The 21513-nt window shown below is 40.1% G+C and overlaps 1 protein-coding gene across 4 annotated transcripts in view, besides 1 other annotated feature; it reads left to right on the top strand.

The window, feature by feature from the left end:
* EHHADH (enoyl-CoA hydratase and 3-hydroxyacyl CoA dehydrogenase) overlaps nt 1-21513 on the top strand; it is a 63426-nt gene that overhangs the window by 38022 nt on the left and 3891 nt on the right. For all 4 annotated transcript variants that reach the window (NM_001966.4, NM_001166415.2, XM_047447641.1 and 1 more), the window contains one exon: nt 11271-11612. In NM_001966.4, the coding sequence (NP_001957.2) occupies nt 11271-11612 (342 nt within the window). The remainder of the gene's footprint in view (nt 1-11270; nt 11613-21513) is intronic.
* Nucleotides 7629-7678: an enhancer, noted in NCBI's record as "active region_20918". NCBI's record gives its function as "activates an Ori minimal core promoter by ATAC-STARR-seq in GM12878 lymphoblastoid cells {active_cell/tissue: GM12878}" and the evidence as "EXISTENCE:reporter gene assay evidence [ECO:0000049][PMID:35858748]".

Below are 21513 nucleotides of genomic sequence, written 5' to 3'. Positions count from 1 at the left end.
GTAATTCACCTTTTAACACTTCAGGGCTTTAGACAATTATGTGTTACTATTTTAAATTATAATCATGAAAACTATATAGAAAAATGTAAAATTGTGATATAAAAATGTGTAGAATATAAATGTACATGTATTTGCAATTATACAGTATATAATCGTGTATAGAGTAATGATCATTATCTGGAGTATGTATGAATACAGATACAAATGGAAAGGAAATAAGCAAAAATGAAAATGTTAGTTTTTCTCCAAAATTTCTTAAGTGATTTTTGCTTTTGTTTTGTTTTATTCTCCAGCTTAGGATAAGTTAGTTTTCTCAAACATTTCTAAATTATTTTTGGTTTTGTTTTTATTTTTTCCAGCTGTATTGAGGTGTAATTTCTACAGATAAAATTCATGCATTTTAAGGGGGAGTTTGGTGAATTTTGGTAGTTGTTTACAGTTGTATAACCATGGCCACAATCAAAATATAGTTCTATCACCCTAAAAAGTATTCTCATACCCCTTTCCCATAAATCCTTTTTTCTTCCCCTTGGCCGCAGGCAACCAGTGACCTACTTTCTGTCATACTTTTATGGTTTTTTTAGAATCTCATATGGATGAAATCATGCAGTAGTATATAGTCTTCTGTGGCTGGCTTTATTTTGTATAATGTTTTTGAGAGCCATTCCTATTGTTGCATGCATTAATATTTTGTTCCTTTTTATTGACTTGTATTCCACATTGTGGGTAAACCACAATTTGTTTATCCATTATCAGTTGATGGACATTTAGTTTGTTTCCACTTTGGGCCTACACAAGTCTTTGTAGACATAGTTTTTCCTTTTTCTTGGGTAAATACCTGAGAATAGTATTGCTGGGTTGTAATAAGTGTATGCTTGACTCTTAAATGCTTTTTAAAATTTATTAATAAAAAAATCAGTGATTTAAAAGACACTAATTTTTGCCAAGCAGATCAGAACAGATGGAACAAATACGGTGAGACTGAGTTTAAATAAGCTCTCATTAGAATGCTTGTAATACATCCTGTCTAGAAGGCAGCTGGACAATCACTTATAGAGGCTTAAAATTACTCATACCTTTTCACTTAGTTTTTCTATTCTTAGGAATTTACCATAGAGAAATAATCACATAAATACACAAAGATTTGTATACAGTAATACTCACTAAAGCTTTTAGATTATCATAAAATATTGGAAACAACTCAAATATTTAGTTCTGGGAAATTAATTATGTAAAAACGATAATCTCAATGAACTGACTCCATTCAGCTATTACAACTTCCATTTTTAAAGAAAGTTGAAGAACTTGGAAAATTGCTTACATATAGTATTAAGAAGAAAACAGCCAGGTAGAAAATTTTACAAGTGTGTGCGTGTGTTCTTATATGTACCTGCATAAGGAAAAAACTATAAGGCGATGTAACAAATTTTCAGTAGTGGTTGTACTTGGGTGGTAGGTAATCTAGACTCTTGATTTGAAAAAAAATTTATCTTTTCCTAATATCTAAGTCATTAAATTTACCCCCTCCCCCAAAAAAATGGATGACTTTGGGAGGCCAGTGTGGAAAGGACGCAGTCTGTTAGAGAAATGGGCTCAGGACTGGAGGTCAGGAGAGACAGAGGTCTCAGCTTTAGCTACGGGACCTTAACAAATCATCTTTGGGGCTTTGTTTTATGTATTGGTAAAAGAAAGGGTTCAACAAAATTAGCTGGTTTCAAATCATGTTCTGAGACCTCACAGGCTACAGTGGTTGGGTGCTTAGTTATTTGTCCTTGCAACAACTCAAGCAAGGTTTTGGGGTGTAATGTGTGTTTTGGGGTTTAATGATTAGAATCCCATGGAAACCCTAGGACTTTTACTGTTTTTTCTTTTTTAAATGAGTTCCACTGTTTGAAATCCTATGATTTCTTGGTGCTGCTTTGTAATAGACAAACGCTGGAGATCAAGGTAGAGAAAAAGACAGATCAACCAAGGATTAACTCAGAATCTTGTCAACATTTGCCATTTATTCTCTTACCAAATTTATAATTTAAGGAGGCCTATTTATTTGCCTTTCATTTTCATTTGAGGTATTGTGCCTATCTTTTCTTTTTGTGCTTCCCCACTTTCCTCTTTTTTCTCTTTCTTTTTTTCTTTTTTTTTTTTTTGAGACGGAGTTTCGCTCTTGTTGCTCAGGCTGGAGTGCAATGACATGACCTCGGCTCACTGCAATCTCCTCTTCTCAGGTTCAATTGATTCTCCTGCTTCAGCCTCTGGAGTAGCTGGGATTACAGGCATGCATCACCACACTCAGCTAATTTTTGTAGTTTTATTAGAGATGGAGTTTCACCATGTTGGCCAGGCTGGTCTTGAACTCCTGACCTCAGGTGATCCACCCGCCTCTACCTCCCAAAGTGCTGGGATTACAGCCGTGAGCCACCGCACCCAGCCTCTTTGTTTTAAATACAGTGGTTAGTGTGTGGTCATTTAGCAGAACAAAATTGATGGATTAACTTGAAGGAAAGTTTCCACAAAAATTCAATATGTTAATTACATTAAATATATATGCATTTATTAGAAATCTATAGTTATGGAAAGCTAGAGCAATTGTCTTGATCTAGAGCCATGGTCCTCAAACTTCACTGTGCATCAAAATTGCTTTTTGGTGGGCTTGTTAAAGCACGGTTAGCAGGGCCCCACTCATTACTTTCTGATTCATTAAATCTGGGGTGGGGCCCAAGAATTTGTATCTCTAACAAACATGCTTAGGTGATGTTGATGCTGTGTTCTGGGGACCACACTTTGAGAACCATTGATATACAGAGAACAAGGGTAAGAAAGGAGATAATTTTTGCTAGTTTTGATTTTTTTTACACCTGACACGCAAACACTACCTATAGTCTTTTTTTTTTTTTTTTTTTTTTTTTTTGAGACAGAGTCTTGCTTCTTCACCCAGGCTGGAGTACAATGGTGCAATCTTGGCTCGCTGCAACCTCCGCCTCCTGGGTTCAAGCAATTCTCCTGCCTCAGCCTCCCAAGTAACTGGGATTACAGGCACAAGGCAGCACACCCGGCTAATTTTTGTGTTTTTAGTAGAGACGGGGTTTCACCATGTTGACCAGTCTGGTCTCGAACTCCTGACCCCAAGTGATCCACCTGCCTCTGCCTCCCAAAGTGCTGGGATTACAGGCGTGAGCTACCGCACCCAGCTGCTATAGTCTTAAAGATATTTTTGTAAATCAGTTATGAAAGGCATGGTTAAAATGCATACACATATGGTTGCACAACCTTGTGAATATTCTGAAAAACACTGAACTATACACTTTAAAGTGGTGACTTTTGTGGTATGCAAAGTCTGTCTCTGTCTTAAAAAAATACATGTTGAATTTTTGTATTCCCTTTTCCCATTTGTAACCATATTCCAATTATTCAGCCTATTCTCACTCCCACTGCTCAAATGTTTGCTTTAAAACAACAACAACAACGAAAGAAGAAGATGAAGAACATTTATTTAGTTTCTACTTCTTATAGGAAAGGAGGGAGAAAAGGGAATTTCCAATGGTCAAGGTTCCAATCAGCACTTTTGGAACCAATTACGAGTGGGAAGGGAGTGTAGAAGGTTAACATACCTAAAACGCAATTTGGGACTTAGCGGCACATTTCTCTACAAACTTAACACTGTATCCTGGTGAGTTGACTGTGGAAGTTCATTAGCTTTATGCATTTTAATGTTCGTATTCTATGAAGCCTCCCAGACTACTGCAGTGCAATGGATTTAGCAGTGCAATGCAGAATTACTTGGCCAAACCAGATTGCATTGGCTAAACTAGGGAGGGGAGCATCCTATAAAATGCTATATATTTGCACATGCATGTGGCTAGCAGCCTGCCTGTTTCTGAACTAAGAACTCCTGTTCTCATGTGCATGTTTCTGGCATGATGCTGAATGTGTGTGCTGTTATTCAAAGACCAAGAGACTAAAGGCTCTCTCTCTCTCTACCTTCCCCAGCTGGAATGGGCACAGGGAATTATCCAGCTGGGAGTGTCAACTCTGGAACCTAATGCTCCGTTTTCCTTTCTGTAATGAACCCTGGTCCTGTTCCTGTGGCTGTGCTGGGCTGTGTTAGCCACTTTTAACAATTCTAATTCTGCCTAAAGACCTTGGTCTATTTGTTCTTTTGGAGTTGTGGCTTTTAAAAAACCTTAGTGGTTTTATTTGTCTTTCTCTTCATTTTATCTTCTTCACTTTGTAATTTATTTTTACCCGCTGTGAACATTTATATGAACATGTTTCAAAAGAGCAGAGTGACCTGCCTTACATAGGAGGCCTACGCACATGTCTAAATTGAGCTTCCTTTTTACCTGCTAGACAAGTTCTGTGGGTCACCTTCTTGAAGCCTGTTAATGTGCAGTTATTCTGTCTGTCCTTTGCAAAGCTTTTATGATGGACACAGCTTTCTGTTTATCAGGGTTAGAGAGAGAGAGAGAGACAGATTCCTTGATGTCTGTGTTCACGATTTCCGTGAACCGCATGTTGAGTCTCTCTTTAGCCTAGGCAGAGAAAATCTTTTCCTGCCATTACAGCAGAAGAAGAAGGGAAAATAATCACCTCCTTTTGTTCCTTCAGAAACGTGACTCACTTATCTTTTTTATCAAAAATGTCATAGAATACCTCATAGAACTAAGAAAAAATGTGAATGGGTCAAGGAAAGAATTCAATTAATAGTATATTTGAATCACTGATTACTTCCTTTCCTCCCCATTTCCCTGGGCAGCCAATGCTGATGCTGACATACTGACACTTGCCTCTCTTATTGTATAGGTACTGCTGAGTGACTTGAAAACTACCAAGTATACAAGAAATACACTTTGAAAACAACTGTACTTATACACCCAAAGGGGAAATTCTGAATATCTTATAACTGAAGTTGTAAGATAACAGCATCCTTAGTTATAGCTGTAGCAAGAAAGAGATAGGAAATTGAGCAGGGAAAAACCATCTATGATTGTGCCCGGATCCAAAATTTTCCAGTGGGTATGCTTAGTTTGGCCCTAGGACTGGTCTAGACAAGTGCCTTGGATAGCTCCCAAAATGCCCATATGCAGTCTGCGAGGTTTTCAGTGTCCCCGGGATAATAGGATTATGCTGATCAGAACTAATTACTGCACACCATTAAGCAGGCTTTCTTTTCATTTCAGTTTTGTTCTCTCCTCTCTTTTTTTCCCATCTTTTCTTTTCAATCTCTGGCCTAAAATGAAATTGCCAGGAACTGCAGCTGTCCTTGATTCAGTGGCGGACAACACTCTCTGCTCTTGGAGCTCCCAGAGGCTATACCTTAAAATCAGCTTCTGAACTTTTCAAGAATAGTCTTACTAGGCCCCACCTTTAAATATTCCCTTTTTTTTTTTTTTTTTGAGACAGAGTCTCACTCTGTCGCCCAGGCTGGAGTGCAGTGGCACAATCTCGGCTCACTGCAACCTCTGCCGCCCAGATTCAAAGCGATTCTCCTTCCTCAGCCTCCCGAGTAGTAGCTGAGACTACAGGCACCCACCACGCCTGGCTAATTTTTGTATTTTTAGTAGAGACGGGGTTTCACTATCTTGGCTGGGCTGGTCCTGAACTGCTGACCTCATGATCCACCTGCCTCGGCCTCCCAAAGTGCTGGGATTACACTGTGCCCGGCAAAGATTCTTAACTGAATCTATGGTGAGGCCTGGGCATGGCTACTCTTAAAAAATTCAGCAGTTAATTTTGAGGTATGATGTGGGCATCTGAACTTCGTAAACTCTTCAAATAAATCTGATGTGTGCTATGATGTTGAGAAGCACCCCCAGGAATGCTGGGAACAGAGGTAGTATCACAAGACAGAGATCCAACTCTAAGATATCCCAGCGCTGTCTATGCCCTGTTACATGGCATAGATTGCACCGGCAGCCCAGCCTGCCTTCCTCCTCCGCTTGTGCCTCCATGCTCTTGTTCTCTCCTTCCTCTCCCCATTGTCCATTCTTGTCTTCCTTTTAGGTCACCGGCACATTAAATCATCTGTAGACCCTGGGGGAGTCCCCATTCTTCTCTGCTGAGTTTGCTTTCCCTTAAATTGAGGATTGGGCTAACTCTTTGGGTAATTGAGCAAGTAATTGGTGGGCCTATTGGATACGGTTCATGTTTTTTCAAAGTAGTAGGGTGAGAGGGACCACATGCCTATAACCACTGTCTTCTCTCCATTCCTGAATCCTATTCTTTAACATCATATGGGAAATCATTAATTCAGAAACTCATTCTTTCCAACACTACTTACTAATCAAGCATTAAGAAAATATTCTTGTCTCTTTGATTTAAAAAGGAGGCTGAGATTATACAATATATCTATATTACCATGTGCACATGATTACATCCAAACCTTACTCACGTTCCCTTGGACACGCCTAACACACCAATGCCAGAGGGGCTCAATGCCAGATGCGCTTATGTTCATATGTCTTTTTATGGTGAAACTGCTCTGGTATAAGCCCTGGTAGGCTTTCTGTCTAAATAACTAAGATGTACATTTTTGATAAAATGGTTTTATTTTTTAAGAGATGCCAGTACATTATAGAAAACAACTTCTGGTATAGCTGAAGTTTTGGTAACTGTAAGTTGTTATGAATTTATTATTTTATGAAAACTTTGGAATCATTCTGTAAAGTTATTTTTTAAAATAGTACCATAAGGATTCTTATTAAAATTTCATATATAATACATATGGAAAATATATTTTTATGCTATTAAATATTTATATCCAGAAGCATGGTGCTTTTCTGTTTTTATTAAGGTCTTATTTTATGTTCTTCAATAAAATGGTATAGTTATCTTCTGAAAGGTCTTGTACCTTTCTTGATAAATTCATTTCTAGATACACTTTAACAGTTTTAATGAGGCGTGATTTGCCTTATAGATTGTGCAGCCATCCCCATAAATCAATTTTAAGACTTGTCCACTCCCACAAAAAGTTTCTTCATGCCCATTAACACTAACTCCTACTCACATCCCCAGCCCTAGGCAACCACTGATCTTTCTGTCTCTATAGATTTGCATTTTTTGGACCTTGGATCTAAATGGCATCATACAATATGTAATGTTTTGCATCTGGCTTCTTTTAGTTAGCATAATGTTTCTGAGGCTCATCTGTATCTGTATTGTAGCATGTATCAACAGTTTGATCCTTTTTATTGCTGAATAATATTCTATTGCATGGCTCTATCAAATTTCTTTAGTCATTCAACAGCTGATGGATGTTTGGATTGTTTCCAGATTTTGCTATTATAAATAATGCTGCCATGAATATTTGTAGACAAGTTTTCTTTATGGCATATGCTTTCATTTCTCTTGTGTAGATTCCTGGGAGTGAAATTGCTGGGTTGAACAATCAGTTTATGTTTATCTTTTTAAGAAACAACTAAACTGTTTTCCAAAGCAATGTGCTGTTTTACACTCTCAGAAGCAACGTATGAGGCTTCTGGTTTCTCTACATCATCACCAACATTCAGTAGTGATGGCTTTTTATTATAGTCATTCTAGTAAGTCTAACTGCATAACAAATGACCCCAAAACTTAGTGGCTTAAAATCAAACATTTATTCCACAATTTCTGTGGGTCCAGAATCCAAGTGTCCTAGGTCCTCTGGCTTTCAGATTTCAAACAAAGCTACAATCAAGGTGTTGTCTGTGGCTGTAGTCATCTCAGGTTGATTAGGGGTCAGGGGGAGAATCTGCTTTCAAACTCACTCAAGCGGTTGTTGGTAGGATTCAGTTCCGTATGGGCTGTTGTACTGAGGGCCTCAGTTCCTCACTGACTGTGGGCTGAAAGCCTCCCTCAGTTCTTTGCCACGTGGGCTTCACCATAGGGTGGCTCACAACAGGGCAGCTGGCTTCCATCAGAGTGACCAATTTGAGAGGGCAAGAAAGTATGAGCAAGACTGAAGCCAGAGTCTTTTTGTAACCTAATCTAGAAATGACAGCCCATTACTTAGAGTCTGTCTACCACATTTGTTGCGGTTTTAATTTGCATTTCCTTAATGACTAATGATGTCGAGCATCTTTTTGTGTGCATATTAGCCATTCACATATGCTCCTTGATGAAATAACTGCTCAAGTTTTTGCCCGTTTAAGAAATTACATTGTTTACCTAATTATTGAGTCATAAGAGTTTGTTACATATTCTGGAAACAAGTTCTTTATTTGATATTTGATGTGCCAATTATATTTTCTATTGCTGTGCTAAAAAATTACCACAAGCTTAGCAGTTTAAATCATCCGAAATTATTTTCTTACAGTTGTGTAGACTAGAAGTATTGTAGAGGTCTCCCTGGGCTAAAATCCAGGTGTCAGCTGGTGCACTCTTTTCTGGAGGCTCTAGGGGAGAAACTGTTTCCTGCTTATTTGGGTTGTTGGCAGAACTCAGTACTTTGCATTGTGGGATCAGAGTCCCCATGTTCTTGCTTGCAAACTTGCGACCTTGTAAACCTTAAAGGTCAATCCCAGCTTCTAGAGAACACTGCATTCTTTAGTTCTTGGTCTCCTTTCCTCATATTCAAAGCTACATCAGTGCCAACAGGTCGAGTCCTTTGCATGTTGCATTTCTCTAACCCTTCTTCCTTGTTGAATCCCCCTCACCACAGTCAGGAAAGATTCTCTGCTTTTAAGGACTCATATGATTAGATTGCACTCAATCAGATAACACAGGGTAATATCCCCATCTCAATGTCTAATTTTTTTTTTTTTTTGAAATGGGGTCTCACTCTGTCACCCAGGCTGCAGTGCAGTGGCACGACCTTGGCTCACTCACTGCAACCTCTCAGGCTCAAACGATTCTCCCACTTCAGCCTCCAGAGTAGCTGGGACCACAGGGGTGCGCCACCATGCCCGGCTAATTTTTTGTATTTTTGGTAGAGACAGAGTTTCACCACGTTGCCCAGGTTGGTCTCAACCTCCTGAGCTCAAAGCAATCTGCCCACCTCGGCCTCCCAGAGTACTGGAATTACAGGCGTGGGCTACTGTGCCCAGCCAAGGTCTTTAATCTTACTCTCACCTATACATCTCTTTACCATGTGAGGTTATACATTCACAGATTCTAGGAATTAAGACATGAACATTTGGTGGGGGGGGTGTTATTCTGACTACCACACAAGTATTTTCTTCTAGTTTATGGCTTGTCATTTCATTTTTTTTTTTCTGTTTTTTTTGGAGACAGAGTCTCGCTCTGTCACCCTGGCTGGAGTGCAATGGCATGATCTCGGCTCACTGCAACCTCCACCTCTCAGGTTCTAGCAATTTTCCTGCCTCAGCTTCCCGAGTAGCTGGGATTACAGGTGCACACCACCATGTCCAGCTAATTTTTTGTATTTTAGTAGAGATGGGGTTTCACCATGTTGCCCAGGCTGGTCTCGAACTCCTGAGCTCAGACAATCCACCCGCCTCGGCCTCCCAAAGTGCTAGGATTACAGGCGTGAGCCACTGCACCTGGCTGTCATTTCATTTTCTTATTGATATCCTTTGAAGAACAAAAGTCTTTAATTTTTATGAAGTCTGATTTCTTGTTTCTTTTGTATGTCATGCTTTTGGTGTTGTATCTAAGAATACTTTGCCTAACCCCAAGGTCCTGAAAATTTTTTTATATTTTCTTCTAGGAATTTTTATAGTATTAGTTCTTCAATTTAGATTTGTGATCTGTTTTCAGTTGATTTTTATATATGGTGCTAGGTAAGGACCTAAATTTTTTTTTTTTTTTATTGTTTTTGGCATGTGGATATCCAATTATCCCACTACGATTTGTTGAAAGATTCTCCTTTTGAGGATTTTTTTCTGAACGATTATTATCTAAAGTGTGTTGTTGCTTTAGGGTCACAGTATGCTTGTGTGCATCTGTTACCATGTCACTGTGGTCCTTCGCTGAGTGCCCTTAGGGGACTAGAATCTTTCCAATAAACCACGTTTGAGATCGTATGAGTCAGCGTGCAGTGTAGCCCACACTTGAGAGTGTGGATTTATGTGCACAGTCACTTTGCTCTGGGTGGAAGTAGGTTATAGTTGACTTACTTTCTCGGTGCTTGTTCCTACAGCCCCTCTTTTCATGTGTTGCTCAATCTCCCTATCCCTTCTTGGTGCTTGCACATCTCAGACCCTTTAGCCAGACCCTTTAGCCAAACCCTTGCCAATAACAGTATTTTTGTTCTCAGTTCTGTTCCCTCTGGTTGCGGAGACTTTGAATAAAAATGCACACACCTATTCAGTGGGATTTAGCTGGAAAAGGTGACCTTCCAACCTCACGTCAACTTCTGGCTCCTCAAACAGTAGGTTGGCAGTAAGGCAGGAAAGTTGTTTTCCCATTTCTCACTGAGCAGATTGTGAATATTTCCATATGGATTTTCTGTTGTTAATGTTGCTCCGATTCTTTGTTTTAAAATAAAAATTCTGAATGTGAAAAAAAGAGACTCTCCTTTCTTCCATTGAATTGTTTGGACACCTATGTTGAAAATCATTGGCTATAATTGTAAGAGTTTATTTGTGAACTCTCGATTCTCTTCCATTGATATATATACCTATCCTTGCATCAATACCACGCTGTCTCCTTTTCTAGGTATTTTAAAGTTTTTGTTACTATTAGGAACGGAGTTAAGGTTATTTTGAATCTAAAATATTCACTCAATAATAGACACTAGAGTCTCTACTACAGGGGAAGGGAGGGAGGATGGCAAAGGTTGAAAAACCAACTTCTGGGTACTATGCTCACTACTGGGGTGGCAGGATTATTCATATCCCAAGCCTCAGCATCGTGTGATATACCCATGTAACAAACCTGCACATGTATGCCCTCAATCTAAAATAAAAGCTGAAATAATTTTTAAAAATTAATAAATAAAATATTAACTCAGAACCGTTTTCCTTAGACTCATTAATATTTAATATATTAATATTAATTACAGATTAAATATTAATCTATTGATTAATTTAATTAATTAATCATTAATCTATTATAAAATTGTCTTGGTCTTGGATTAAAAAGAAAATACAACTTTTATGCCTAAACTAGGTAACCTAAAATTGCTTTGAGTCTACTAAATTCTATCTTGTAGGACTGTGTTGCAAAGATATCAGAGATGTTAGTGTACATATGTTTAGTGTACATTAAATGTCTTAATGAATAGCTTTTAGTTTGTGCTTTGAATTTGAACAGGTTATTGTTATTACTATATATTCACATTCCCTTTGTACAAGTAACATTTCCAAAGCTCTGATCCTTCTTATTCCTTTCAGATCAACCTCTAGAATCCCGTAGACTCTGCAACAAGCCAATTCAGAGCTTGCCCAACATGGACAGCATTTTTAGTGAGGCCCTCTTGAAGATGCGGAGGCAGCACCCTGGGTGTCTTGCACAGGAGGCTTGTGTCCGTGCAGTCCAGGCTGCTGTGCAGTATCCCTATGAAGTGGGCATCAAGAAGGAGGAGGAGCTGTTTCTATATCTTTTGCAATCAGGGCAGGCTAGAGCCCTGCAATATGCTTTCTTCGCTGAAAGGAAAGCAAATAAGTGGTCAACTCCCTCCGGAGCATCGTGGAAAACAGCATCAGCGCGGCCTGTCTCCTCAGTTGGTGTTGTTGGTAAGACCATGGGGTAATGAATGGAATCCTCCAAATCTGCTCATGTAATGTGCTACCATTTGCTTAGGGCTACCGGATGCTAGGTTTCACGTAAGACACATTACTTGTGTTAGCTAAGCTAATTCTCACACCACCCCATGAGCTCTCTTCTTTAACATGAGAGGCCTAGAGACGCCAGCCTTCTCAATGGTGAGCTAAACACGAGTAGGGTGAAAGTCTGACCCTAGGTCTGACTCCAGACTGGGAATGTTTTATTCTTTTTTTTTTTTTTTTTTTTTTTTTTGAGACAGAGTCTTGTTCTGTCACCCAGGCAGGAGTGGAGTGGCTCAATCTCGGTTCACTGCAACCTCCACCTCCCAGGTTCAAGTGATTCTCTTTCCTCAGCCTCCTGAGTAGCTGTGACTACTGCCACCATGCCCAGATAATTTTTGTATTTTTAGTAGAGACAGGGCTTCGCCATGTTGGTCAGGCTGGTCTCGAACTCCTGGCCTCAAGTGATCCACCTGCCTTAGCGTCCCAAATTTCTGAGATTACAGGTGTGAGCCACCATTCCTGGCCTAGCATTTTTTATTCTATGCTACCTCTTCCCTGTATGAATCTCTCATTCCTGGATTTCCTGATGATGATGATTTGTACCACATTTCAAGGTGTGGCCTGTCACTCTCATAGCTGGGTATTTGCAATCAAGTCTCTGTCTTTCCGTCCCCCGATCCATTCACTTCACCTGTTCAAAACCACTATCCTCAAATCCATCTTAACCCTGAAACCATGGCTTCCTTACTTTTTTTCCCTCTGGAATTTTCCCAAACAAAATATCTTCCTTCCTCAGATGCTAGCTCCCTGATTGGCTTCTCTGGGCCACTTTCCTAAGCTTCACTTGCTCTTAGTCTCGGCTCAAGAACGGTCTTTGGTGGATTTTAAATCCCTTGAGATGGTAAGTGAAGCATTCTTTGCACCAGCTTAGGTACAATCTTCTGGGGAGAGGGTCCATAGTTTACTAAAAGCATCAACTTTCTTTCTTTTCTTTTTTTCTTATATTTAAGTTTTTTTAATCATAATTAAAGACATGCAGGAAAGTTATAATAGTACAAAAAATTCTCATATACTTTTTATCCAGATCCTCCAAATGTTAACGTTTTACTATATTTGTTTTATTTCCCTCTCTCTTTTCTGAACCCTAAGAAAAAGTTACAGACTTATGTGTATTTCCTAAAATTAATATTCTCATACATGACCACAGTATAATTTATTTTAAAAAACAGGGCAATTAATATAAAGAACTATTATTTAGTCTATAGCCCTTATTCTGATTTTTCTTTCTTTTTTCTTTTTTTTTAACCATCTTTACGATTTGTAAGTATACAGTTCAGTAGTAATAAATATATTTATATCCTTTTTTTTCCCTTCATCTCCCATCCCCCCCTCCCCTTCCTGGCCTTTGGCAACCACCAATCTACCCTGTATCATTATGAGATCTACATTTTAAGCTCCCACATATGAGTGAGAACATATGATATTTGCCTTTTTGTGTAAAAGCATCAACTTTCTTAACCCTTGCCCAGCTGTCTAGCACAGTGGTCTCCAACCTTTTGGCACCAGGGACCAGTTTCACGGAATACAATTTTTCACGGATTGGGGGATGATGGTTTTGGGATGAAACTGTTCTACCTCAGATCATCAGGCATTAAATTCTCAGAAGGAGCATGCAACCTAGATCCCTCACATGCGCAGTTCACAATAGGGTTCGCGCTCCTGTGAGAGTCTAATACCACCACTGATCCGACAGGAGGCGGAGGTCAAGGCTGAAATGCTCCCTAGCCTGTTGCTTACCTCCTGCTGTGCTAACAGGTCACGGACTGGTACCGGTCCACAGCCAGAGGTTGGCGACCCCTGCTGTAGCACCAACCCAACTTGGAGGCAAAGATCTCACTCCACATTTTCTCAGTCTGTTTGTTCTCTCAATTCAACTTTGGTATCAAAGAATCTGTCTCTAATATAAATACATTGTGCTCCTTTCAGCTCTGACTCTGTTGAGGTCTACCCTTGATTCGCTTGGGATTTTTTTTTTTTTTTTTTTGATATGGAGTTTCGCTCTGTCACCCAGGCTGGAGTGCAGTGGCGCAATCTCAGCTCACCACAACCTCCGCCTCCCAGGTTCCAGCAATTCTCGTGCTTCAGCCTCCCAAGTAGCTGGGATTACAGGTGCTGCGCCACCAAGCCTGGCTGATTTTTGTATTTTTAGTAGAGACAGGGTTTCACTATGTTGTCCAGGCTGGTCTTGAACCTCTGACCTCAGGTGATCCGCCCACCTTGGCCTCCCAAAGTGCTGGAGTTACAGGCGTGAGCCTTTGTGCCCAGCCTCACTTGTGATTTTTTAAGAAGATGGATAAGTAGAGTGACAAAGAACTATGATTGTTCCTCTTTTTGTACTATTAAATATTTCAGCAATACCAATATTTATTTCTAGTTGTTGTGCACTTAACCTCTTTCTCCTTCAATTCCTTCAAGTCAAGAATAATTAATGCAAATAATAGCAAGCTGGTAAGTGTATCAGTATTGTGTTTGTCAACCACTGTTTGAGAGGATTTCCCGATTTTGTTGTGAACCTTTCTTTAAAAGCCTTCAGGTTTGTTTCTGGCATATAATGTGTAAAAGTTTGAAGTATTTTTTTAAAATGATATCCACATTGTTTTGAAAAATATTGGAAAGGGCGTACTAAATATATAAAAGACACGTAGATAGAAATCAAGTAAGAGGATCTGGACGTTTCTGCCCTCTTCATGTGTATTGCTACACTGCCATGCGTTTCATCTTCGTGATGCAACCTTCCACCGCTCCCTCGTGTCCTCTGACAGACTCCATGACACTCCTCTGCCTCCTGACTGAAACCCGGCTTACCCTGAGGACCTGCATCTGCTGCCCTCTCCAGGGAATGCTGCCGCTTCTCCCACACTCCATGGACAGCTGGGTCACTTCTCAGACCATTGCGCTTTATGGGACACTGTCCTTTGTGGTCCTGCACTGTGGTCTTGTCGTTCTATCCCTTTTCATTACTGTCATGGCTGCCTTCCATTTGCTGAACACTTTAGTACCTGGCTCACAGTTACCCACTTTGGCCCAAACCCTGCTGCCATCCTGGTTGTCCTCATCGTCTCTATGGACAATCATTCCCTCCTTGTAGCATCTGGGTTTTTTGCCTCCTCAGACTCAGGGACATTCACCTCACCTCACTTCCACATTCCACACTCGCTTCTCCACAGGTCTTGTCGTTACCCTGAATATTTCTCCACTTCCAAAATCTGAAACCCCTCTCTTCACTACCACCACCACCTCATATCTTTCCTTGTATCTTTCTTAATGGGTTATTTCAACTACATCCATTACTTGATCAGCTCCCCTTATCTTTATTTTCTTCTCTATTCAGCTTTAATTTTAAGAGTTATCATTTCAGCCACTCTCGGGCCAAAGTCTCCAAACTCCATGATTCATTGCCCTTCCATTGTGCTCCCCGCAAAATCCTAACCCTGATGATCTCAATTTTTGGCTTGTTTCCATGAGCCCAGGCCCAGGCTTCTCAGCCCCGCAGGAGACGCAGTTCTGATTAGTAACCCTGCAAGTTCACGTTCTCACACCACACCCAGGCTCCCAGGCCTGTCAGGACAGGGGAATGTAGTTGATCAGAAACTGCAAAACTAACATTTAAAACATCCTTATTTGGTATTTACTTCTCTGAGTAGAAGAGGTTCCTGATCAAATTCAATTCCATGGCAGTCAAAAGCAGTAATTTGGCAGGGGAGCAGGACTCCTTGCCCCTGTCTATATGCATCTGTGAGGCAAAATTAGAGAACTATATGAAGCTTGAAACCAATAGCTAGGAGGCCAGAGTTTCAAACCCCACATTCTACCTTTTAATGTAGAAAAGTTTTATCAAAGCTAAAGTTTAGGATACAAGTTGCTATAGAAGTGAGAGCTGTTCAACCTTCTTGTTCTTGAGAGAAGTGCAGGGGGTTAATAAATTTGGAAAACTGTGTTCTTAATAATTTAATATATTTATTATATAGTATTGAGTAATTTAATACACTTGGAAAATTAACTAAATATGTTCTAGAGAGACTAAATCAGTGATTTCTGATGACTGATACATCCTATCTTCAAAACCAATCCTCCATGCTAGTAAATACAAAGTATAGAGGAGTAATATATAAGTGGCTTTCACAAAGCTGTTTTCATCCACAGTGGGCTGGTTAGGCAACACATCATCTGCCACTGTAACAGGTAACCCAGCAATCTCAGTAGCTTAACACAATAAGTGTTTATTTAATGCTTATTCCATAAGGTCATTCTAGGACCAGGGTTTTTTCCCACTAGTGGCTCTGCCATTCTCCATGATAAGGGTCAGCAAACTTTTTCTGTAAAGTTCCGGATGGTAAATATTTAAGCTTTGTGGGCCATACAGTCTCTGTTGCAACTACCCACGTCTACCGTTGTGCACAAAAACAGCCATAGAGCCGGGCATGGTGGCACATGCCTCAGTTGCAGCCACTAGGGGGGCCGAGGCAGGAAGGTCACTTGAGCCCAGGGCATAGAGGCTGCAGAAAGCCATGATGCCACCACTGTACTCCATCCTGGGCAACAGAGCAAGACTGTATCTCTAAAAACAAACAAAATACAAAACAAAACAAAAACCCAGCCATAGACAATATGGAAACAAATTAACCTTGTGTTCCAATAAAATTTTATTTATGAACACTGAATTTTGAATACGATATAATTTTTCATGTGCCACAAAATGGTACTTTTAAAATTTTTTATTTAAAAATGTAAAAACATGTTTTTGCCTGCAGGCAGTGCAAAAATCGGCAGTGGGCGGGGTTTGGCCTACAGGCCACAGTTTACCCCATCACCTACTTTAGGCCTCCTGCAAGGCCTCAGAGTCATTCTCTGCATTCTCTACATCTGGGTGGCAATGGAGGATCTTGTGGGAGATTTTAGGAGCCAATCCAAGAACCCACATTTCCCCCAATCACCACCATCGTATTTCATTGACCACAGTTACTCACAGGCCCTAACAGGATGCAAGGGATCTAGAAAGTACAGTCTTCTGTGTGCCGGCAGGAAAATGAATTGGTGTTGGGAACAAACAACATTTTTCATCAAATAATTTTTCTTCATTTTCCATTTTTTTCTTGCCTTTGCTTAAAATATTTCTCCCTATGTTTTTCCCTTCCTCGACCTGGATGGTTCAACTTCCTCAGTTTTACCTATTACAGTCTAATCTTCCTTTAAGGTCCATTTCAAATGTCTTTGTCTTGAAGCTTTTTTTGATTCATCCAACTGAATGTAATTTTTTCCCTTTGAATCAAAGAAATTTGAACTTTTCACATCATTTACTTTACCATATGGAATGGATATTGTGAATTCCTCTTTCCACCGCTAAATCAGAAGCTCCCTGAAGGTTGATGCTCTTCATGTTTTTTTTTAATAACAGTTTAATTGAAATGTAACTCACATATAAAATTCACCTTTTTATTTATGTATGTATCTTTTTTTAAATTTTTTTTTTTTGAAGACAGGGTCTTGCTGTGTTGCCCAGGCTGGAGTGCAGTGGCACAATCTTAGCTCACTGCAGCCTCCATCTTCCAGTTTCAAGCAATTCTTTGTGCCTCAGCCTCCTGAGTAGCTGGTACTATAGGCATGTGCCACTATGCCCGGCTAATTTTTGTACTTTTAGTAGAGATGGGGTTTTGCCATGTTGGCCAGGCTGGTCTCAAACTCCTGGCCTCAAGTGATCCACCTGCCTCAGCTTCTCAAAGTGCTGGGATTACAGGCATGAGCCACTGTGCCTGGCCAAAATTCACCCTTTAAAAGCGATTCAATGTAAAATGGTACAGCTGCGGCTGAGCACAGTGGCTCACCCCTGTAATCGCAGCACTTTGTAGGGCCAAGGTGGGTGGATCACCTGAGGTCAGGAGTTCGAGACCAGCCTGGCCAACATGATGAAACCCTGTCTCTACTAAAAATACAAAAAAATTAGCCAGGCATGGTGGCAGGTGCCTGTAATCCCAGCTACTCCGGAGGCTGAGGCACGAGAATCGCTTGAACTCGGGAGGCGGAGGTTACAGTGAGCTGAGATCACACCACTGCACTCCAGTCTGGGTGACAGAGCAAGACTCCATCTCAAAAAATAAACAAATAAATAAATAATAAAATGTTGCAGCTTCTATGGACAACAGCATGACAGTTTGTCAAAAAGGTAAAAATTGCCATATAATCCAGCAATTCCACTTCTGGATATTTACCCCAAAGAATTGAAAGCAGGGGCCAGGCACAGTGGCTCACGCCTGTAATCCCAGCACTTTGGGAGGCCAAGGCAGGTGGATTACTTGAGGTCAGGAATTCGAGACCAGCCTGACCAACATGGTGAAATCCCATCTCTACTAAAAATACAAAAATTAGCTGGACGTGGTGGTGCACACCTGTAATCCCTGCTACTTGGGAGGCTGAGGCAGGAGAATCGCTTGAACCCAGGAGGCAGAGGTTGCAGTGTTCCGAGATCACGCCACTGCACTCCAGTCTGGGTGACAGAGAGAGACTCCATCTCAAACAAACAAACAAAAAAAGAATTGAAAGCAGGGACTCAAATAGATATTTTTACACTCATGTTCATAATAGCATTACTCACAATCGCCTAACAGTACAAGCAACCCAAGTATCCATTGAAGGATGAATGGGTAAATAAAATTTGGTATATACATACAATGGAATATTATTCAGCCTTAAAAAGGAAGAAAATTCTGACACATGTTACAACATGGGTGAACCATGAGGACATACTGCTAAGTGAAATAAGCCAATCATAAAAGATCAAATACTGCATAATTCCACTTACATGAGGTACCTGGAGTAGTCAAATGCACAGATATAGAAAATAGAATGGTTGGCCAGGGTTGGGGAGAGGGAAAATGGGGAGTTATCATTTAGTAGGTGCAGAGTTTCAGCTTTGCAATTCGAAAGAGTTCTGATGATGGTTGCACACCTTGTGAATGCATTTAATGCCACTGAACTGTGCACTTAGAAATGGCTATGATGGGAAACCTTATGTGTATTTTGCCACAATTTTTAAAAATCAGAAAATGCATAGTAAGCATATCACCAAAAAAGAATACAATTCAATGGTTGTTAGATATTGACAGAGTTTATGCAACCATTGTCACATCAATTTTAGAACATTCTCATCACTCCCCAAAGAAATCCTCTACCCATCAACAGTCACTCTCCATCACCCTTCCCTCCAGCCCTTGGCAACCACGAATCTATTTTCTGTCTCTGTGGATTTGCCTATTCTGGACATTTCATATAAATGGAACCATACAATATGTAGCCTTTTGTGTCTGGCTTTTTTTTTTTTTTCTTCAAGATGGAGTCTCACTCTGTCACCCAGGCTGGAGTGCAGTGGCACAATCTCAACTCATTGCAACCACTGCCTCCTGAGCCCAAGCAATCCTCCCACCTCAGCCTCCTGAGGAGCTGGGACCATAGGCACATGCCACCACACCTGGCTAATTTTTGCATTTCTGGTAGAAACAGGATTTTGCCGTGTTGGCCAGGCTGGTCTTGAACTCCTGAGCTCAAATGATCCTTGCGCACTGGCCTCCCAAAGTGCTGGGATTACAGGCATGAGCCACCGTGTCCGGCCCTGGCTTCTTTAACTTAGCATAATGCTTTCAAGATTCATTCATGTTATAGTATGTATCATTATTTTATTCTTTTTTTTCGAGACAGAATTTTGCTCTTGTTGCCCGGGCTGGAGTGCAACGGCGTGATTTCGGATCAGTGCAACCTCCATCTCCCAGGTTCAAACGATTCTCCTGCCTCAGCCTCCCAAGTAGCTGGGATTACAGGTGTGCACCACCACGTCCAGCTAATTTTTGTATTTTTAGTAGAGATGGGGCTTCACCATGTTGGTCAGGCTGGTCTTGAACTCCTGACCTCAGGTGATCTACCCGCCTCGTATTTTATTCCTTTTTATGGCCGAATAATATTCTCCATTTTGTGTATCTATACACCAGTTGATGAACATTCAAATTGCTTCTATTTTTTGGCTAATTTTTTAACGTGAGAAAATGAAATTTATTTTTATTGTATAAATGCAAAATTTACAGGAAAATATTTTAAAGCTTTAAAAAATGCCAAGTGACATTGATACAGGAAAATCACAAAGCAGGAGAACTACACTAAATTAATAGATTTCATTTTAAAATGTCTCATCGTATCTCAGATTTTGGAATATTCCATTTCTGTGGAAGACAGTTGATTCTGTTGAAGATATAATGCCCCCTAGTTTAATTAACAAGTACTGATAGCCACTGATCTATTTCTCTTAAGGAGGAGATAAGAAAGATGTGTATACATTCTGTGTACAGGTAATATACACAATTTTCTGGATCCAGCCTTAGCTCAGGGTTTCTGAAATTATTTTTTTAATTTTATTTTAGATTCAGGGGGTACGTGTGCAGGTTTGTTACATGGGTGTATGTATTGCGTAATGCCAAGGTTTGGGCTTCTAATGTTCACTCAAGTAGTGAACACAGTACCCGATAGGTAGGTTTTCAACTCTTCCGTCTTCCCTCACTCCCCCTTTTGGAATCCCCAGTGTTTATTGTTCCCATCTTTGGGGCCATGTGTACCCAGTGTTCAGCTCACACTTATAAGTGAGAGCATGCAGTATTTGGTTTTCTGTTTCTGTGTTAATTTGCTTAGGATAATGGCCTCCAGCTGCATCTATGTTGTTGCAAGTGTGTGATTTTATTCTTTTTTATGGCTGCATTTGGCTATTTTGAATAATGCTGCTACTGAACATTCATGTACAAGCTTTATGTGGACATGTATTTTCAGTTCTCTTGGAGATTTAGATATCAGTGGAATTGCTGGATCATAAAGTAACTCCATGTTTAACATTTTGAGTAACTGCTAAACTGTTTTTTGCAGCAACTGTACCATTTAAAAAATTTGCCAGCAATGTATCAGAGTTCTAATTTCTCCAAATCCTCACCAAAATTTGTTATTGTCTGTCTTTTTCATTATTGCAATCCTAGTGGGTTTGAAGCATTATCTCACTGTGGTTTTGATTTGCATTCCCTTAATGACTATTGATGTTGAACACTTTTTCATGTGATTATTACCCATGTGTTGCTTGTGCTTTGGGTGTCATGTCTTAGAAACCATTGCCTAATTCAAGATCACAAAGATGTATCCATCCATCAGACTTACTCCTAAGATCTGCTTCTAAGAATTTTATAGTTTTAGCTCTTACATTTAGGCCTATGATCCATTTTGAGTTAGTTTTGTATATGGTGTGAGGTAAGGGTCCAACTTCATTCTTTTGCATGTGGATATCCAGTTGTCCCAGCATCATTTGTTGAAAAGACTATACTTTCTCTGTTGAATGTTCTTGGCACTCTTGTTAAAAATCAATTGGCCATAATTGTGTGGGTTTGCTTTTGGCTATCAGTTCTATTCTGCTAATCTATATGTCTATCCTTTTGCAATGACCACTATCTTACACTGTCTTAAATACTATAGGCTTCTTTTTTTTTTTTTTTTTTTTTTTTTTTTGAGACAGGGTCTCACTCTGTCACATAGGCTGGAGTGCAGTAGTGTGATCATAGCTCACTGCAATCCTCAAACTCCTGGGCTCAAGATATCCTCCTGCTTCAGCTTCCCAAATAGCTGTGACTATAGGCATGCACCATCATGCCTGGCTAATTTTTGTTGTTGTTGTTGTTGTTGTTGTTGTTGTTGTTGTTACAGAGTTTCAATCTTGTTGCCCAGGCTGGAGTGCAATGGTGCGATCTTGGCTCACTGCAACCTCTGCCACCTGGGTTCAAGTGATTCTCCTGCC

This window comes from Homo sapiens, chromosome 3 (genome assembly GCF_000001405.40).
Source record: "Homo sapiens chromosome 3, GRCh38.p14 Primary Assembly".
NCBI classification, from domain to species: Eukaryota; Metazoa; Chordata; class Mammalia; order Primates; family Hominidae; genus Homo; species Homo sapiens.
The sequence above is the reverse complement of the archived record's forward strand: the minus strand, read 5'-3'. Positions and strand labels throughout refer to the sequence as shown.